We start from the raw sequence: 20673 nt of genomic DNA on the forward strand, positions 1-20673 counted from the left end.
GCCATCAAAGGACTGCAGTACTTTGGGCCTGGGTATCAGCACGGTGGTGCCTTGCTACTCCTGGTGCAACCTCCTCCCGGTATGTTTCCCTAGCAAGATTTCACCTCAAGACCTCGGTATGTGTCAGGATCCCTCCTTTTCTGCAGTCGTTCGGGACAGTTTTTCACCTGTGGCCATATGAGAGTTTTTTAAAGCTCTGATGGACTCCGAGGCCCCTTGGCCCCTCCTTTCTTTCAGATTTTCAGGACTGGGCCTCTATTTCTGAGCCTGCTTATGTCTCAAGGGACACTGAAGGCACAAAACTAGTGCTCCCCTGTCTATGCTTCCCTGCTTTTCTTGTCTCCTTGAAGACCTGCTGGGTTGTAATGTTTAATGCCCCATCATGGAGGTAGATGGGCCGGTTCCCTAATTAATAATTATTAAGTTGAGGCCAAGAAAACTTGAGAGAGTGTTTATTGTTCCCACGAAGGATGCCTGTGTGGGGTGGGCACGAGCTGGTGCAGACCTGCCTGAAGAGGCAGAGTTTAGGCTTTTAGAGTTGGTAAGGGGAGAGAGTGAGAGAATGTTCTCCCTGTGAGCTGGAGGGTTGTGGGGAATTTCCTACCAGTGCTTATAGAGATATGGGCAGAGAAAAAAGGAGGAGGGGCTTGGAGGATGTCAGGGATAAAACATCAAAAGTAATCAGACTCTCAGACATGGTGATGCTCTAATGCCTTCAAACACGTTTTCATATTTTATTCAGCTTTTTTTAGGTGTACCCAGAAGGTTGGTTCCACATAAGCCGTTCCACCATTTTACAGAAGTGGAAGTTGCAAAACAATTTTTAAATTATGAAATGGTTCAAATTTAAAAATATGGTGAGAAATATTATATATATAATTACCGGGTGGAGCAAAATAATGATAAATAATGTTATCAAATGTTTACTATTTATAAACATTTTAAAAACATCTATTCAACTCTTATAATACCGTATGATGTAGCTATTCCTTTATTTTTTATTATTACAGATGGGAAAACCAAGCAAAGAAAGTTTAAGTAACGTCCTGAAAGTCACACAGCTGTTAAGTGGATGAGCCCAAATTCCCATCAAATGTGTGTGGTTTCGGTTCCTGTCTTTCATCATGGGATAAAGTAGTATCCAAAGGCCCTTTCTGAGGGGTTCATTAGATTTCCCACTTAGATGTCAGTCATTTTGACAAGAGAAAGGAGTGGATTGGTGTCCTCTCGCTGTCCAGAGTTCTCACACCGTGACAGGCAAGCTCCTATGTTGTTGACAGTAACAGTACGCTGCATCTTCAGCCTCCAGGCTGCTGATGGAGGGGATGAAATCAGTCCACCCACTGTCACTAATCCTGGCAAGGACAGCAAGGTGCAGGTCATAATTACTATAAATAGTAAGATTCAGAGCCTGACCTGGTTTTTGTTGGCTCCAATTCAGGCAGCTACAAATATCGTCACAGCTTCTCAGCTGATGGTGGCCTTTCAACTTCTCTCAGGAAGCTTTGTCTGGAAGTTTTGTAAGTTTGGGCACGATAATGTTCCCGTTGACAACTGAAATGAAAAAAAAATCACATGAGAAATGGTGATGTAATTGAGGTTAAATACATCACACTTCATGGTCTTCTCAGGTCACTCAAGTGTGTGAGTTCCCCGTGAGAAGTCACAATTCACAGATGCAAAAAAGCCCTCAGAACTCATCTTACAATGAGAAGAAAGGCTGTTTCCTCATCATGTGGGAGCCTCATAATTTCAGCTCCTAACTGTGAGCAAGGCATCTGTCTCAGACCAATTCCACTGAGTCAGGGTGAAGTCAGACAGGCGCATACACAGTAAGAATCGCAGGATACTAAACTGGGTTCTGCCAATACCAGGCTGAGTCACTGCTCAGCCCTAACTGATCAAGCTGTTTTTGGAGACCAGAGCCTGAGTCAGCACAGTGATTACTGTGACATCTAATTCAGAAATAGAACACAAACACATCAAATATTTTTCTGAAAATATAAGTGTTATGAAATGATATTTCCTAAGCTATCAAATATCTTAAGAAATATTTCCTTTATTTCTAATGCTTGTCCTTACTTCATGATATGCACAATTTCCCCACTCCAACCAGTATGTATTCTATTTAGATCATAAGATACGATTAGTGGTTATGTTTATGTTTGCCACTCAATATCAGCGGTATAGTACTCCAAAATCTCAAATTGCTAGAAAAGCATTGTATAAAATGTTTAAGTGAAGTGATAATTCACAAATAAACATGAATTTCAGATTTGTAAAAAGAAATGAAAACACAAATGTCCTAGTAAAGCAGGATAAAATACACTTTTCTACACACAGAGTAAAGGATAAAAATTATAAAGGGAAATATAGTTGCACATATAAGCAATTTTTAAAAATCAACTGCCATCGGCTGTGCAAACCTCAGTCCCATCAACTCTCTCACTGAAATATTTCTCAGGTTTATCTCTCTATCCCCTCCAACATCTCGATAACCACAAGGAGCCTTAAGAATGATGTTGCTCATGTTCTAATCTCTCATTGTCTAGTTTGATAAGTTATGTTGACAACTGCACAATAAGAGTGATAAGATCAAAAGACTATTGAAGACATTTCAAATGGAAAAACTAAAAGTCAGTATCTCTCATAAATACAGACAAACATTCAAAAAAAAAAGGGAAGATTTACCTCTATCTCTCTCAGATAATCTGCCATGCCCAACTTGAATATATTTCAGAAGTGCAAGGTTATTATAACATTACATAATCAATCCATATAATGCATCACACTGACAGAATTAAGAACAATAACTTTTATTATCTCAATAGTAGCTGAAAATCACTTGAAAGAAGTCAACAGCTATTCATAATAAAACTCTCAGCAAGCCTGGGATAATGAAAAACACCTTATTCTGATAAAGCATCTACAAATGATCCATCTTTAGAATTACTGAGGTTTAAAATTATTGAGAAGTCGTACAGGCAATTCTACAGCAAACATCTTAGTGATAAAATATTAAACATTTCACTTCTCAAATTATAAAAAATACTGAACCATCCACTATATGAAATCATAATGGAGGTCCTAAGACATGCAAAAATTCAAAACAAATAAACAAACAAAACCCATGGAGTATGGAAATGAATAAGCAAAACATTTGTATTTGCTGAAAAAATTTGTACATAAGTTCTTAAAGAATCTAAAACTTAATCACTAGAAATAGGTCTCTGCATACAATGTGGATTAAAGGAGATATAAATAAATAGCATTTTCTGTTCATAGAACAGAAGATTTGATATTGTTAAGAGTTAATGGATGCAGCACACCAACATGGCACATGTATAAATATGTAACAAACCTGCACGTTGTGCACATGTACCATAAAACTTAAAGTATAATACAAAAAAAGATTTCAGTTTTCTCCAATTTGATATATAGACTCAATGCAGTCCAATTAAAATCCCCAAAGGAATTTTTGAAATTGAAAAGGTGATTCTACAATTTACGTGGAAATTCAAAGGATGTAGAATAGCCAAGAAAATCTTAAGTCTAAAAATCTGGTATTATGTCTTCTGACTTTTTTTTCTTTATAATAAAGCCACAGTAATTAAGACTGTACTGTAAGCACAGAGATAGACAAAGAGTCAAGAAAAATATTATTTTTACACAATCATGAGATTTTTAAACACAGGCAATAGAGTGAGGTATATGTTTTCAATTGTTTTTTGTTTTGTTGTGTTTTGCTCTATTTTTGCAAGAAATGGTGAGGAGTTGTTGAGTATGAAAATAAAAATAAATAAAACAAGATATCAAAATAAAATTCTTGATCCACCTCACCCCAGGCAAAAAACATGAATTAGAGATAGACTGTAGCCTATATGTGAGAGGTAAAATAACGATGCTTCTTCAAGAAAGCATAGGAGCATATCTTTAAGCCCTTTGGTGGTAAAAATTTATTAAACAGAGGACACACGTAAATACACAAAACAAACACAGGAGAAAAAAATGACAAGTAAAATGACAAATTAGATTACATTATAATTAAGAACTTCTAATCGCATCAATGTGTATGATTAATATAACATTACACACACAGACACTCACACACACGATTTGAACAGGAACTTCCCTAAAGATATGCAAACAGCCAATGAAAATAAATATATGAAAAGTGACTCAAGATCATTACCTATTAAGGAAGTATAAATTTTAATCATGATACAACTTCAGATTTATCAGTACAGATGTTTTGTGTTGGATATGTATAGTGGAACTTTGACATAATTGACTCCATCTCAGATAAAGACTGCATTATATGTTTCATAGGGCAGCTTGCCAACAAGAATAAAATGTTTTGCCTACAAAATAAAAAAAATAAAGGCTGCATCCAACCAGATAAGGTCACAAGCAAGCACAGTCTTGCACTATGAGTTCTCACCAGAGGACTCTGTGACCATGAAAGTGCGGGCTGTCAGTATCTCAAAAGGGCCATCTTAATTCACAACCATCCCGTTGTCATTTGTGATAAGAACTCCTCATCTGCCTAAGAAGGCTCTGACACATCAGAGACTCTTCCTTGCAAGGACCAAGGGACCTTCAGGCCAGACCAGGATTCTTTTTGTCTTCTTCACTACCCCTGGATTGATTTGATAACTCTTTCTCCTATTTTTTTTCTTTTGGTGTTAAATGTTGCATTGTGTAAACTTTAACTTATAATGTTTATGTATTGATTAAGAATACTATTATGTATGGTTTGCAATATTGACCGGCTTGTGCAATGGTTTTAGCCTGTGTGCCCGCAACACTGACAATCGAATGGCTCCTTGGGAGCTCCATGTAGCTTGCAGCTTCTGTGTTGGAAATAGCATCAGTAAAAGTCTGACATTGTGGAAAGACATAAACACGCATGGGCCTGGTTAACTCTGACCTTGGAGCGCACATGACAGGGTAGATCTATGCAAACTTGACCCCAATGCCTGAGGAAGCTGAAAGGCTGAAGAAAGAGGCTGACACATCCAGTTTCTCAGAAAGAAACATTTAATAGAGACTTAAAAACAGAAGCCGTGTCTGTGTCTCTGACAGTAGGCAGATAAGATGGTCAATCACTTGCCATGACCCCTCTCAAATAGGGCTTGTATACCATAGGAGACCAGTGATTCAGAAAGGATGTGTACGACAATCAAAGAATGATTACATCAAGGTTGTTTAAGGGCAGGATTTATGCTAAGTACTTGCTCTTAAATAAGATAAAATAGATAAACTGAAAATCTTAGAGACCGTCCCAGAACTCAGGTTAATCAGAAGTCAGACATGGAAAATTAGCATCCAAGATGGGGTTGCTTTGGCCTCCACCCTAGATATAATAAAAGTTTGACAGTACTGAGTACTGAAAAAGATTGACAGCAATTGAGACTTTTAGGACGTGGTTGGTTTCATGTAAACATGTTCAGCATTTCAGTAAACTATTGTCAATGTTTACTAAGACAAATTCTATGCTAACTTTATAACTCAACACTTCCATTCTTAGGAATATTCCCAAGAGAAATGAGTGCATAAGTTCACAAAAGACAAGCACAAGAATGTTCTTAAGGTTTTTACCAGTAATATTCTTAAACCAAAAACAAATAATTAGTTGAAAAATGAATATATTTTGGCATATTCATGGAAAATTGTTCCTCAATAAAAAGGCACAAATTACTGCCAGAGAAACAACGCAGATGAAGCTCAAAAATATTTTGACCAAAATAAGCAAGACGTCAAAGAGTAAATACTGTATGATTGAAATTATATAAAGCTTAAGTATAGGAAAAATTAATAAATATTGATATAAAATACAGTGGAAGCCTAGGATGATGATAGATGGAACACGGAATTGACAGGGAAGTAAACTGGGGAGATATTTGAGATGCTGGGAAGAGTGTGGATCTTGATCTGGGTAGTGTTGGAAGAAGGTGGGATCGGAGCATAAATGTTTACAGTATACATATAGGTGCAATATGTTTATCTGATATGTTGTTGGCTGAACATACTTATATGTGTATGTACTTATGTCTGATCTTTGAAAGGTCATAATTTAGACTCTAATCCCCTGTATCAAAAAAAATTCTTTAAAAATATGTAGAGTACCTTCTCCTTTTCTGTATAAGTCTGACTTTTGCTGCAATCTAGACCTCCTAGGTTTAATTTTCTTTGTCCTTTATTAATAATAATCAGGAGAGATACTTGCATATCAGCTGATGGAGCTGAGGATAAAGAGAGATAGAATGTAAATGTGCCTCCCTGACCCCTTCTACCAAAACTTCCCAGTGAGCTTCAAACCTTGGCTGCATCTGAGAACTGCTGTCAGCAGAGGGCGGCACCAGGAGGAGCAGCTGGGGCAGCCCAGACTCACACATCTACTTCCCTCCATGGTTTATGTTCGGGCTTGTATCACAGTGGGAGGGGCACTGTTATACTTTTGACAGTAATAAGTTGCAACATCTTCAGGCTGCAGGCTGCTGATGGTGAGAGTGAAATCTGTCCCAGATCCACTGCCACTGAACCGAGATGGGACCCCTGATTGCAAAGTGGATGCAGCATAGATCAGGAGCTTAGGAACTTTCCCTGGTTTCTGCTGATACCAGGCTAAATAATTGCTAATGCCCTGACTCGCCCGGCAAGTGATGGTGACTCTGTCTCCTACAGATGCAGACAGGGAGGATGGAGACTGGGTCATCTGGATGTCACATCTGGTATCTGATATTAGGAACATAAAAACACATATCCACATGATTAGTAATGTTCTAAGAAGAATTTCCTGAAGTGCCAGGCATTAGTGGCTACACTGGCTGAATAAAATTTTTGTTGTTTCCCTCCTTACCTGGGAGCCAGAGCAGCAGGAGTCCCAGGAGCTGAGCAGGGACCCTCATGTCCATGCTGTGTCCTGACTGAGAGAGACTTCTGCACAGGATGTCACCAGCCTATTGATAAATGTTCAGGGCAGTAGGCGTTGCTCTGTGGGACATGCAAATCTGCACAGCTGCAAAGATGTCTTATCTCAATAACACTGCACAGGCCCAGTGCCTCCCAGGTGTCCAAAGTCTGCAGAGCATGTGTTTCTCCCTGCAGGCTACAGGACAGAATCAGCCTACTGTCCTATATGTGGAGTGTTCTTTTGCTCTCTTCATGTTTCATGACATGCTTCTCTTGCTAGCTTTCTATTTATGACAAGGTCTGCTAGGGAAAAACATCTCTAGAAACTCAAGACATTTTAGAAGTTTCCTGCATTTGATACAGATGAGTACTATTAAGGTCAGAGAGACTTCCTTTTTGGTCCAATTCCCTGGAACCACCAGTGCTGTAAATTGTCAGTGCTACCAACAATGGATGCATTAAGGTATAATCATGAATGATAGATAGATAGATAGATAGATAGATAGATAGATAGATAGATAGATAGATTTGCTCATTAAAAAAGAAATAAAAAACTTAAAAAAAACCTAATACTTGAAAATAGTGCCACAGCAAGGAAGGGTCCTGCCACTGGCTATCTGGCATAGCTAATCTCCCATCTCCAGACACATAATTGTTATCCTCCATATCTGAATGTTCTTTCCTACCTCTTTCAGCTGGGCCAGCCAACATGATAAATTTTCTCCCTTTACTTCTGAAAGTTCTCAGCTATATTCTAGCTCTGTATGCCATCCTACAGTCTCATGCTAGATATTTCCCTGTGCTCCCTGAATTTTATTTATGCCTTTTATTTCTCTTATCCAAGCCATTCCCCTTCAGAAGCTGAGGTGTCCTCTAAACCAAGTTGTCACCCTCTATCCCTGTGACTACTCTGTTTCTTATACCTGCATATTTCCAAATCACCAATCTCTTCCAGCTCCTAAGAGAAAACAGTTCTTAGTGACTGGGTTTAGGGCACTTGATCCGAGCAGGTTCAGAAAGAAAACTATGCAACAAAAAGCCAGGGAATTGTATGAGATACTGAGCCTACACAGTATAGAAAGTGCACCCGTGTTGTGGGGTGTAGAGGAAAGCCCACCTGGGCGTTGAAGCTATAGTTAGCAGAGACAAGTATCCCTACCTGGGTGTGCAGGATGCAAGACCCCTCCTCCCACTTATGCAGGACATCACAGCTGGATGAGGATGAGCAGGACAGTCACAAGGGTGGAGGACACTGTTGCTAATGTCAGAGCCCGGGGGGGAAAGGGCAGCTATGCAGAGATGCAAAGTTCATGGTGGACTGGCACGGAGTATCAAGACTAATGAAGGTGTGTGAGGCATAAGAGGGAAGTTGTCCACAAGGAAAGTTTAGGTGACAGGGACAGTGGGAGATTGGTGTCACACAAAATGTTTGATCATTTAAGTAAATATGGTATGAATAATTACAGCCAAGATTCTCAGTTTGGAAAAAAGCTACAAATATAAAAAAGGAGAAACTGTAGATTTGGATTGTAATTAGAGACATTAATGTAGATTCATTAATTTTTTGGATAGTTTTATACGGATATAGATTAAAACATATGCAGATAGACAGGTAATTTTTCCTAGAAGCAGTAACACACAAGTCTCAATAAACACCTTGAGTGCTCAAATCTTGTTTTATTGAATATCAATCTCTATTAAAAAGAATAATTACTGGAAAAATATCTGATATCAGGTTTAGAGCAGAAAAAATATAAGATAAGCCTGCACTTCTTGTGTCAGAAACTAAGGAAGTGCTCAGAAAATGATGGGGTAAGAGAAAAAGGTATTAGGAACTAGCTTGAATGGGGCTCCCCTTGGACAAAATAGGGGAATGTTGACTCTGAAAATAAATAATGACAGTAACATATTTGTTTCAGTCTGTGCTGTTATAACAGAATATTTGAAACTGGGTGATTTATCTTTTCAGTTAGAAATCTATTTCTCACAGTTCTGGAGGTGGGAAAGTCCAATACCAAGGTGCAGTTATCTGGTAAGGTCCTTCTGGCTGCATCTCCATGGTGGAAAGGCAAGACAGAGTGAGTAAGAGCAAGAAGGGGTCAAACTTGTTTTTATAAGTAACCCACTCTCACTATAACAAACTCACCCCCATCATGATGACATTAACCATTCATGAGGGCAAAGCTCTAGTGACCTAATTACCTCTTAAAGTTTCCACTTCTCAACATGGCTGCACTGGGGAGTAAATTTCTAACAAATGAACTGAGGAGGATACATTCAAATCACAGCATTCCACCCTACTCTCTCCAGTTCATGTCCTTTTCACATGAAAAACACATTCATTTTATCCCAATAGCACCTAAAGTCTCAATTTGGTCCAGCATCAACTCAAAAGTCCAAAGTCCAGAGCCTCATCTGAATCACATATGGGTGAGATTCGAGGCACTATTTATCCCAGGCAAATTAATTCCAGCTATAAGCCTGTGAATTATCAAGTTACATGCTTCCAAAATACAATTAGCCCTCCCTACCCATGGGTTTTACATCCACAGATTCAACAACCATGGATTGAAAATAGAGTATTCAGCAGATGCAGAATCCACAGATGCAGAGGGTATACTTTTCATATTTGCAGGTTCTTCAGAGCTGACTGCAGGACTTGAATGTCCACAAATTATGGTATTTGTGGAGGACCCTGGAACCAATTCTCCATGGAAACTGAGGGACAACTGTACAATGGTGGGGCAGGCATAAGATAAACATTCTCATTCCAAAAAAGAGAGATAGGTAAAAAGAAAGGGTTAACTGGTCCCAAGTAAGCCCAAAACCCAACAGGAAAAACATTAAGTCTTAAAGGTGGAGAATAATCTTTGACTTCAAATCTCATATCTGGGGCAATCTGGGGTGGGAGTTGGTTTACCAATGCCTCAGGCAGCCCCACCTCTATGGTTTTACTGGGCTCACTTCACCCAGAAGCCTTCATGGGTTGGAGTCTTGTGCCTGCATCTTTCCCAGGCTGGAGTTGCATGCTGCTGGCCCTACAATTCTGTGGTCTCCCAGGCTGCCTCACTTTCATGGCTCTACTAGATATTGCCCTAGCAGGGATTTTCTGTGGAGGCTTTCTCCCTGCTACAAGTCTCTGCCTGGGATCCAGTATGTCCATAGCCTTTCCCAAGACTCAATCTGGCATTCTCCTTGCTGGGAATCCAGAGCCACTCTCCGGCTATCCTTTTTGGAATTCAGCCCTAAGCCCCTGGAAGCTTTTCTTTTAAACCCTCCAAACACAACCTCTGACAGGAATCTGGCTGGAACAGTCGGCATCTTCAGCAAAAACAACTGAGAAGGAGAGGAACCCTGCAAACACCACATTAGTGTAGAGGAAATGCATACAAACCCTAGATTTCATGTTTTCTCCAACTGTTTTTTCCAGTTTCTTAACCATGATTCTGTTTCTATGATCTTGAAGGATGGAGACATTAAGAAGAACAAGGAGCTGTTTTATGCTTAAGATATAAAAAGAGAAATGGAGACAGGAAGAGAGCAGAATTTATACATTCTTCAAAGTGGTTTGGATTTCTCTAACCATGGGCATAGAATGACAAAGATGTTAGGAGAAGACATCACTTTTTCTGATTTCCTGTTTTTTTTGTGTCTTAGACTCCCATAAACACAAATAAGAACCCAGTCAGTCTCTTTCCCTTGAATATTTTTTCTGGATAAGTTAAAATAATTTTAGAAGCAATTGCAAGAAATGATAGCAATAGCTGAAGCAGAGATAAGAATTCTGAAGTTTGGAACATTTGAGGTTGGTGCAGCAACTTGGTGACAGCAAAAGGACCCAGGTTTTTGCTACATTTCTTCTTTGCACTTCAGTTTTTCAGTCTTGGGTTCAAAGCCTCATGATCTTAGGAGGGCTGCAGTGCCTCCAAGTATCAATGTGCACGCATACCTGTTTCAGGAAAAAAATGCAGGACAAAGCTCTTCACCTTCTATGCCTTTATGAGGGATCAAAGTCCTTCCCTGAAGTGCTGCTCACCTCTGACATCTCATTGTGGAGCTCATGTGCCCCACTCCCTGCTCCTCTTCATTGTCCTTGCCATGTGCAGCAGGACGAAGCTGGTCCCTTATACGCCCAAGGAGAGGGGATGGCTGCTGTGTAGGTGCCAAGAGTTTTGCGATGTTTATATTTCACTATGTGTCTAAGTTAAGTTGCATGGGAAAGAGAAAGTTCAAGGGCCTCTTTATGTGGTGGGATTGGAGTGGGCCAGACCCTGAGGATGACAATGAAGTCAAATTTCTAGTTTTTCAGTTGCCAATGCTGGCTTCACTAGTTAAGGAAATGTGGCCTGTGCAATTAAGACCAGGACAGACTTTCAGGTACTGGAATAAATGGGGGAGATATTTGGCATAGGGTCCTCAGTCCAGGACTAATGTTTGCATTACCCAAGCTGCCGGTCACTGGCCCTGGTCTGTGGCAGTAGCAGCTTCTCTCCTGAACCATGGGGCTGAGGACCTGGGGGGAACCACAGGCCCTATCCACGGGGCTGCATGGAATGGGGCTTCAGAGAAGGAAACTGCTCACACACCCACGGGTGCCACACCAAGCCCAGTGCCCGAGGTCAGGATGAAAGTCTCTGAGACCAGAGCCTTAGGGCTGGGCCTGGGCTCCTGGGGCTGGCTGTCCTCAGCTCTGTCCTCACTGGTCCTGAGACACCAGGACCCTGTTGGAGCCAAAGAGGGAGAGTCAACAAATGTCCACAGACTTTACTCAGCGAGCCTCTGTTCTGCTTAGAAATAAAAGGAACACATGCTACAAAAATAATGAATATATGGACATACTGTGTAAACTTTTAAATTAAATAGATATAATATTATGGATATAAATTATTGATGTATCTGTATATAATATGTATCTATATTATACATCTACATAATATGTATATTTATATAGAAATAGATATAACTGTTGGTATAAGGTATGATTTCAAATTTGATAAATTGAGCATGAACATTTAAAACCAGCAATAGCACACCATAAACATGATCCTTCCTGACTTCCTGAAGGTCAGGAAGCTCAGGACCTTTCCCCATGTCCCTGTTGAGCAGGACAGAGAGCCCCCAAGACCCAAGGGGGGTGTGGGGAACACAATCAGCAGGTGGCTGGGAGATGGGCAGTGGGTCTGGGCCCTGATTGGAGAGAAGTTTTGTTCCCAGATCTCCGAGTAGACAGTTCCTCCCCTGGGGGCTCTTCTCAGACACAGCAGCACATGTGACTCAGTGGCTGTGTAGTCACAGGGTCACAGGACAAAACCCTTCCACTTGACAATTGGCAGCTTCTCCTCTGACTAGAGTGATGTGGGATCTCTCTGCCCAGCTATCATGGCTCATGTGGCTGCTGACATCCTCTTCACAAAACGAGACGCCATGAAGGCAGCTCAGCTGCTGATGGCCCGAGTGAACTCTGTCCAAGCCCATCACCCCTGACCCAACAGGCATTGTGTAGAGTAGGCAGCAGGAGCCAGCAGAAGCTCAGAGCCAGCTGTGGCTTCTGCTGGTGCCAGGCTAGAACATTGTTGAGACTATGGCTGGCCCTGCAGGTGACAGTGACCCTCTCTACTAGTACACATGAAGAGGGGCTAGAGACTGTCCATCTAAATGTGGAATAAACATGAACACCCCAAATATTAATACCAAGCATGTAGTTTGTTCAGTTTGGTTAAATTCTATTCAGAAAATAAAACAGGCTAATTAACTGATTGTCAAGGAAACATTCCTGTTTATTGCAAACAAACTGAAGATGAAGCCTGAACCCTCCCTTCTTCCTCAAGAGAGAGAACAGCAGGAGGAATAGGAGCAAAGCTGGGTCCCCACATCCATGAGATATTTCTTGATGCTGATCCTGCTCAGAGAGGGTGGGGATAGTGAATGAGTCTTCTTTCACTGCAACACCAAAATACTCTGGGTGGGTGGCTTGAACCATAGACATTTATTTTCACATTTCTGATGGCTGGGAAGTCCAACATCAAGGTCCAGCAGGGTTCACTTTCTGGTAAAGACCTTCTTCCTGGTTTGTAGATGCTACCTTCTCACCATGCTTTCATATGGTCTTTCCATAAGAGTGTGGGAGTTAGAGAGAGAGGAAAAAGAGAGATCTCTGGATCTTATGAGAACCACTAATCCTATTGGATCAGGGCCCCACCCTTATAACTTCCATTATATTCTTATAGGTCCTATCTCCTACAGCCACGTTGGAGATTAGACCTTCAACATGAATGTGGGAACACAATTTAGACCACAGCAGGTGGACACAGGTAAGGCAGTAGGGAGGGAAAGGATATGCTTTCAGCCTCCAAGCACAGAGCAGGTTCCCCACAACTCAGCACACTGGCAGCTCATCCCAGATGTCCCAGGTCACACATGAGACACCGTTCTAGATTTAGGGACTTCCCATTGATAATGGGACACTATCAGTCTTATTTTCCCAGTGTTTCTAAGACCTTGGTGTTCTTTATTGTTTATTGTGGAGTGTGTTTACACCCAGAGACAGGTTATTGACATAGCAATTTATGGGATTTTTAATTTTGTTATAGTGAAAATTACTTAATAAATTTATCAGAAATAATAAACTAAAATTAATATATTGTATGAAAATGAGATTAACTGAATGTCCTAAAAGGAGCCTGAGAGGATAAAAAACCATATTCTTTTCAGAAGAGGACAATTAAAGTCATATGACTTTTATAACAAAGACATTTTAGTAGAAATTATCAAATGATAAATTCAAATAGGCTGCCACAAACATAACTATATACTCAAAAAATTATTTTCTAAAATAATTTTACATTATCATATAAGAGCAAATAACTGCCAGGTGCAGTGGCTCACGCCTATAATCCCAGCACTTTGGGAGGCTAAGGCAGGTGGATCGCTTCAGATCAGGAGTTCGACACCACCCTGGCCAACATGGTGAAACCCTGTCTCTACTAAAAATACAAAAATTAGCCTGGAATGGTGGTGGGTGCCTGTAATCCCAGCTGCTCCGGAGGCTGAGGCATGAGAATCTCTTGAACCCAGGAGGCAGTTTGCAGTGAGCCGAGATCATGTCACTGCGCTCTAGCCTGGGTGACAGAGAGAGACTCCATCTGAAAACACAACAAAACAAACAAACAAAACAAAGTGGGTTTATCAGCAGATCCACTGAATGGAAAATTTCTCCAATGCGTGCTTAAAGTAAAAGAACATTTATCCCTGATGGGAAACTCTAGATTTCTTTGGTCTTTAGAAGAAAACAGCTTTCTCTCTAGTCGTTCCACTTCATGCTGTCGAGGATGGGCATGGGGGCAAGTGACTCTGAGGAAGGAGGAAGGCTGTGTCTGAGGGTGGTCGTGTCTCCTGCCCATCTGAGCGACCTCTTGGAGAAGAGCCACCGACACCACCAAAGCCACCCACCTGCCTCTGCACTGTCAGGCAACAGACACAGAAACCATGTCACATTTAGTCCACCATATTTTGAGGCTTCTTTGTAACAGCCTTAATTGTACTCTGATTCTCCTTGGTATTTCATCTCAGTTTTTGGAATCATTTATTTTTCACCTAATGGGGCCTTAACATGTGGGACTGAAGTACAGCTGAGGCTATCATGAGCCAGAGTCCTCAGCAGCAACCTCTGCCCTGAGGTCTCCAACAGCCTCCTCTTCTGCAGACTCAGAGACCCTGCTGAGCTGCTCTCCAGACAAGCAGCACATGTGAGCAACTAGGCAACCCCAGGAGGAGGTTTCTGTTAGGGGTTGTACCACTGTGGGAGGAGTTTGTAGAGCTTGCATGCAGTAATAAACCCCAACATCCTCAGCCTCCACTCTGCTGATTTTCAGTGTAAAATCTGTGCCTGATCCACTGCCACTGAACCTGTCAGGGACCCCGGAGGCCCGATTAGAACCCAAATAGATCAGGAGCTGTGGAGACTGCCCTGGCTTCTGCAGGTACCAATCCAAATAGTTGTATCCATTACTATGCAGGAGGCTCTGACTAGACCTGCAGGAGATGGAGGCCGGCTCTCCAGGGGTGACGGGCAGGGAGAGTGGAGACTGAGTCATCACAATATCCCCACTGGATCCTGAAATAATGAATTGCAAAGTTATGTACAAACCTAATGAGCAATTTTCATAATTTATCTTATGTCATTTATTTAAACTTAATTTTAAAAAATAGTGATTTATGCCATAAAAATACACATTCTAAAATGAATTCAATTTTTGTAAAGTATAAGAGACCTTTATATTTTGAAGATCTTAATCAGAGCACCAGACGTCATATTTCTTATGAGGCTTCTAATTATTCACAGAGCAAAATATCAAGTTCCCTTTTCTACAGCACAGATTATACTCCTCTAACACAGGGTAAGACTAAACATGGGATCATGGGATGCTGTGGAGCCCTAGAGCTCACCCTCCCACCCTATTCTCCTTCCTCATCTCCTTCTTTTCTTACCAGAGACCCAGAGCATTAGCAGCCCCAGGAGCTGAGCAGGGAGCCTCATTGTGAGAAGGTGAACTGAGGAGTCCTGATCAGTCAAGGCACAGTTACAGCTGAGCTTTTATCTCAGACTCACAAGGGAAGGTCCTCCCTGTGGGACAATATGCAAATCCCCTGGTGCATGCAGTGGTGTGGAAAGAGTCAATGGGGCAGGCGGGCAGGGGATATGTCTCTCCTGTGAGCAATGTGATATAAAATGGGAGGAAGGATCTGACTGTGACAGTTTGGATCTTGGGTAGGTCCCATTGTATAGGATATGCAACTCTAGGAAAGCATAACAACCCTAACAATGTAGAGATATGTCTAGAATGAATATGGATGAATGCCATTCTTCTTGGCTCCCTCCCAGCTAATCTAAAAAAGGAAACGTTACCCTTTCCTACAAGCACTGATGAGCAGACAGCCTACAAATAAAACATAGTCTTGAGCCAGTTCAAGAGTGGTCTGGTATCTGCGGTTTCCAGGATAACTGTTCAAGAATGTTCATAGCAAGTGTTGGAATCTACCCTCCCCTGGCACCTGGTGAGTGAGCCCCATAAGAGCGCTCTGTCCAAGGGCCTCATAGGGAAAATAATGTGGGTCTCTATATTTAGATTCAAGAGCCCAGTGCAGGTAAGAGGAAAGTGGGAAACAATTTATTCCTCAGGCAGTGAATATAAAATTCCTGGTGACCAATTGTTCAATCTGGTATATATCCCATCATAATCATCTCACATATGCCAGATTAACCAGAAGGATTTATTAAGGGAAGACTTTTCTAGGATAATTATATAGAAAGAACAAAAACTAACTTTGCACTATGTTTTTCTGAATGGTGTTAACAAAAGCTCTTCCCACAGTCTTCCTCATCATGTGGAATGAGGTCCTATCAGGACTTCCAGTTTTTCGTCAACTACCAAGTGAGATCTGAGTGTCCCCTGGGCCTGTAAGTGGTGCAGCCACAGCCATGAGTTCACAATTCGAGTGGAAATTCTCTATGTAAGAAGAGCACGAACTGGATCCACAGCTTTACTGTCTCATGGTCACCATTACCCATGACTGGCATTTTCCTGAGCTTTCATGTAAAGACGATCACAGCTCAGAGATGTCAATCTACCACACAGCTGATCATGAAAACAGGGAAACAATCCAACTATTTGTTTGTCAATGATATGCTCAAGATTGAGTTGAACAGCTCTTGAAAGATTGTGCCTACATCAGATCCCTTCACAAGGACACGCACTGTCCTGGAGAGAAAACATCTGGGGAGAGCCAACGTAATAGATTGCAGTACTATGTAATCTCGGGTAATTTAACCCAAAGTCATGCTTACTTGGTAAAAAACACAAACAAATGCAGTTCTAAGTATGATCCCACAAGAAAGCTTGGTCTGCATATCTTTTGGGAAATCTACCAAAATAAGACTTTTTAACAAGATTGGAAAAAGTAATTGAGTAAAAATGATCTTAAATGTCGAACTCCATGTTAATATTCTGAGTTGATGACCACAAATTATCATGAGGAGGTAGGAGTACAATAAAAGTCTTATATTCCAGTCTTTAAAATATTTATTATTTTCTTTTATTTAATTTTGTAAGTTTTGTGTATTTAACTTTTTTATCCCATGATGTTGACCAATTCAATGCAGGTTCTTAGTCTTGAAAATTTCAGACTCTTAATTAATCATGCTAGTGAAAGGATTCAGAAATATTGGTAGGTGGAAAGAAAAAATAATAAATGCAAACTAAACTTAACATACTAACAAAAAAGAACACTATTGAATGCATTATGTCTGGTTTTAAAGGATTACTCTGAAAGTATGTTAAATGAAGGATCAGTTCTATCTACCATCTAATATGGATGCTTGAATTGAGAGAAAATGACAAATGATAAAAAATCTTTCGTGCTTTCTTTTGCAAGGCAATTCAAGAATATGTTATTTTTACAAAATATTCTTTAATATTTTTGAATTTCAGAGAGTATTGCTATTCGCTATGAAAATTAACAACAAAGCTTTAAGGAGTCTGCCATTGTATTTGGTAATTTACTTCAGAATCTGTTGCCCTTACGTATTCAGAAAATGTAAAATCTTATAAAAATTATTTGGTGCAAAAAAAAGTTTTGAAGCTACCCTATACTACCTATGTACTTAAATAATAATATTTCTAATTCCAAATAGAAATCTCTGTCTCCCAAACATTAACACATTATGCCAAGGCTTTGATAACAATGGATGAAGCTGGTGGCTCCACAGTGGACACAGGTAAGAAGGTGTAAGAACAGTCTCCATTTGATCCAGGTGGGAAGCAGGCCTCTGTGTGTCTCTAATCTGAACCATGGTCATCTGAATGAGGAAGGACTGATACAGGTGGATCTTACTGTAGTTGTGTCTCCTTTGCCTGATGCTGTGAGATCGGAGCCCATAAAATTGGAAGTAAGTGTATTACTTGTATGACATGGGAAGATAATCATGGAAATGGAAGTGTTTGTGTCCTTGGAAGTCAGTGTTTGTGGGGTTGGATGGAGAGTGTGATCCTGTTGTTTGTACATCATTTGAGGACTTTGGAGCCTGGGCAAAGAAAAAGAGATGTCCACAGGATGGCAGTAGCACACACAACTTTTATTGGGTGAAGCTTTGACAGGTTTGCCGGTAGTTCCTGAGAGCAGGAGTCTGTCTATAGGCCAAGGGGCCAAGGTTGTTATTCAGAAGGGGGGGAGGAAGAAATTTGCTGTATAAGGGGCTTATGTGTCTAGGTGTTGTCACACAGCAGTGTTGGGGTGATCAGACCCAACACCAGGTCATGGGGATGACCAAGTCTGGTGGAGTCAAAGGATTGAGAAAAGACAGTTTGAGAAGTAAAGTGGGACCAGGGGGCCATCGTGATCATGGAGGCTGCGAAGGCCCCGAGCTCTGGGAGCCCAGTGCTATTTATTGGTTATCCAACAAAGAAAAAGGTGGTGAGAATGTGGAGGTCAAAAGGGCACGTTGCATTAGGCACAAGATTTATAGCTGTGATGGTTTAGCATTCGCTCTGCTACTTGAGATAATGGAGAGCAGGTTCCTTTAACTCAAGATACAATCGAACCTGGGAGAGCAAGGAGCAAGGAGCCAGCAAGTGTAGACACATTCCAGAGCCATGAACCCTGGATTCTATCCAAGCCACGAGGGATTTTATGCCCTGGGCTTAGATTACAGTGTGTCAGGGTAGCCTTCCACCCTTTATAGCACAGAGCTTGGTGTTCCAAACGCCACAATGGGTTTTAGACCCTGGACCCCAGACATGTTCCAAGACTGTTTTACATTATGTCAGACATGCAAGCCCTGCCTCAGCTTCTCCCAACACTCAGCTTTTCCCAATACAGCAGCACAGTGGGGAGTCTCTAGGTCAGAGAGAACCAGAGGGAAATATTAGTCTGGGGTTTTCATAACCTGGGGCTTACCTATTTCTAGCAGATGTGAGCAAGGTTCTCTGAGATACATAATGTAAGCATTCTTTACATGGCAAAAAATCTGCTTTGGGGGGCTGTTTTTGAAATGATAGGATTGTAAAGTTTGAGTTTGGCACAGGCCATAGAGAAATAAGCTGCAATTTGGAAACAAACAACATATGGGCAGTTCACACAAGACACCTTTGGCTCACTTATACATCATTGTTGCACATTTTGTAGACTTTGTTCTAAAGACTATATTAGTGCAGATAGACAAAATCCACACTGCTATGGATGAGACTGAAGACACGCTGCAGTCTTTTCCCCACCTGGACCTCAATGGAGGTTTTTAAATGTTTTATTAAAGTTGAAAGTTTGTCCTTGGTGAGAACTGAGACCAAGCCACCCACAGAGGGAGCTTCACTTTGTGAAGCTGCAGGTCCTCTGCGCTGGATTTCTGGCTTCCAGGGCACGTGAGATTGAAGTTGTCTGCATTATCTCATCGACTGAAAATTGTGACCAACTGGAGCACAGATTCATGGATAAATATCCAGGTACACAGAGAACACAGGGAATGAGGGCTCTGTGGATAGGTATCTTCTGCTTCTGAGAATCTCTCTAAACACTGGGAGACACAGGGATATTTACATATTTGACCTTTCTGAATCTTCAGACCCTGTTCTTGATCAGCCTAATCTGAGCCTGTTTCCAAATGTTTCAATTGATTGTCCTCTTTCTTAGAAAAAAACAGAAAAAAAATGATATAAAGTATACACTGAGATATGAGATTAGCTAGTGGAGTCCTGTGCTTCCAGGGATGCTTTTCCTCCGTGCATGTTCATCTTTCTGTGGGGCCCATCTCACCCCCATCAGACTGCACAAAGTGAGGCAGTGATTTTGTTGCATCCCTAAGCATTCTGTGTCCCTTACATTCTTTATTCCCTCTAAGATTCCTTCTCAGTTCTGACCCTTAAAGAAAGGGACCTCTGTCCCTGAAATAAGGTCTCCAAAAAACCACAGCTTCCCTGGGTGTTTATAAGGTTTTTACATTGTTGAGCTGCTATTCTGACCACTATTAAGAATTAATTTCTATTCCAAGCAAATTACCTTTATTAAATCTCAAAACCACATGCCAGCTATAAAAGCTTGCTCTTTTTTGGAAGCATACTCAAGAATATAATTTCCCAGTAAATATTTCCTTTAATTTAACAAGTTAATCAGCAGGTTTCTTCTTTTTCTTTTGTCTTAGATAATTTTGGTGCAGTCGAGCTCCCCAGTAAGTTGTTTAATATAAATTCCCATAATTGGGTTTAAATTTCTTCTAGGGCTGCTATATTCCATCCTACGCAAGAATCAAATAATCTTTGAGTTTTGGAGTTCACTAGTTTCCAAAGCAAGAATAGGAAACATGTGTAAGAGCTGCCTAAATAAGTAACTAACAAGTCATCCTAGCCTCCAGCTATTTGTAAACTTTGTGATTTCATCAGACGACTGTTCTAGGGAAAACAAAATTATTTATTTTATTCTATTCTATTTAATTGTCATTTACTACTAATATTTCATTTTTTGGTTGGCATAAGGGTAATTTTAGAAGAGCTAACATGTACATTTCTAAAATTACTAAAAGGTGAGGCCAATTGTCCTTCAAGGAGCACTTAAACTTTGGATTATTCTCTCTCGGCCAAGAAAAGCCAAGATAGATGTTGACATGGTTTGGATATTTATCCCACTCAAATCTCATGTTGAAATATAATTCCCAATGTTGAAGATGGGGCCTGGTGGGAGGTTTGGGGGTCATGGGGGTGCATCCCTCATGGT

General features: G+C 40.8%; 2 gene segments (V, D, J or C) and 1 further gene, besides 4 other annotated features; 1 reads left to right on the top strand and 2 right to left on the bottom strand.

Moving 5' to 3' along the window:
• IGK (immunoglobulin kappa locus) overlaps positions 1-20673 on the top strand; it is a 1378008-nt gene that overhangs the window by 349620 nt on the left and 1007715 nt on the right.
• IGKV1-27 (immunoglobulin kappa variable 1-27) lies at positions 6443-6917 on the bottom strand. The segment is given in 2 exon segments: positions 6443-6738; positions 6863-6917. Coding segments are annotated over 2 exon segments (351 nt in total), but the record flags the coding sequence as incomplete, so codon positions are not given.
• Positions 6728-6738: a sequence feature (IGKV1-27 leader sequence).
• Positions 6863-6917: a sequence feature (IGKV1-27 leader sequence).
• IGKV2-28 (immunoglobulin kappa variable 2-28) lies at positions 14718-15451 on the bottom strand. The segment is given in 2 exon segments: positions 14718-15028; positions 15403-15451. Coding segments are annotated over 2 exon segments (360 nt in total), but the record flags the coding sequence as incomplete, so codon positions are not given.
• Positions 15018-15028: a sequence feature (IGKV2-28 leader sequence).
• Positions 15403-15451: a sequence feature (IGKV2-28 leader sequence).

This window comes from Homo sapiens, chromosome 2 (genome assembly GCF_000001405.40).
Source record: "Homo sapiens chromosome 2, GRCh38.p14 Primary Assembly".
Classification (NCBI taxonomy): Eukaryota; Metazoa; Chordata; class Mammalia; order Primates; family Hominidae; genus Homo; species Homo sapiens.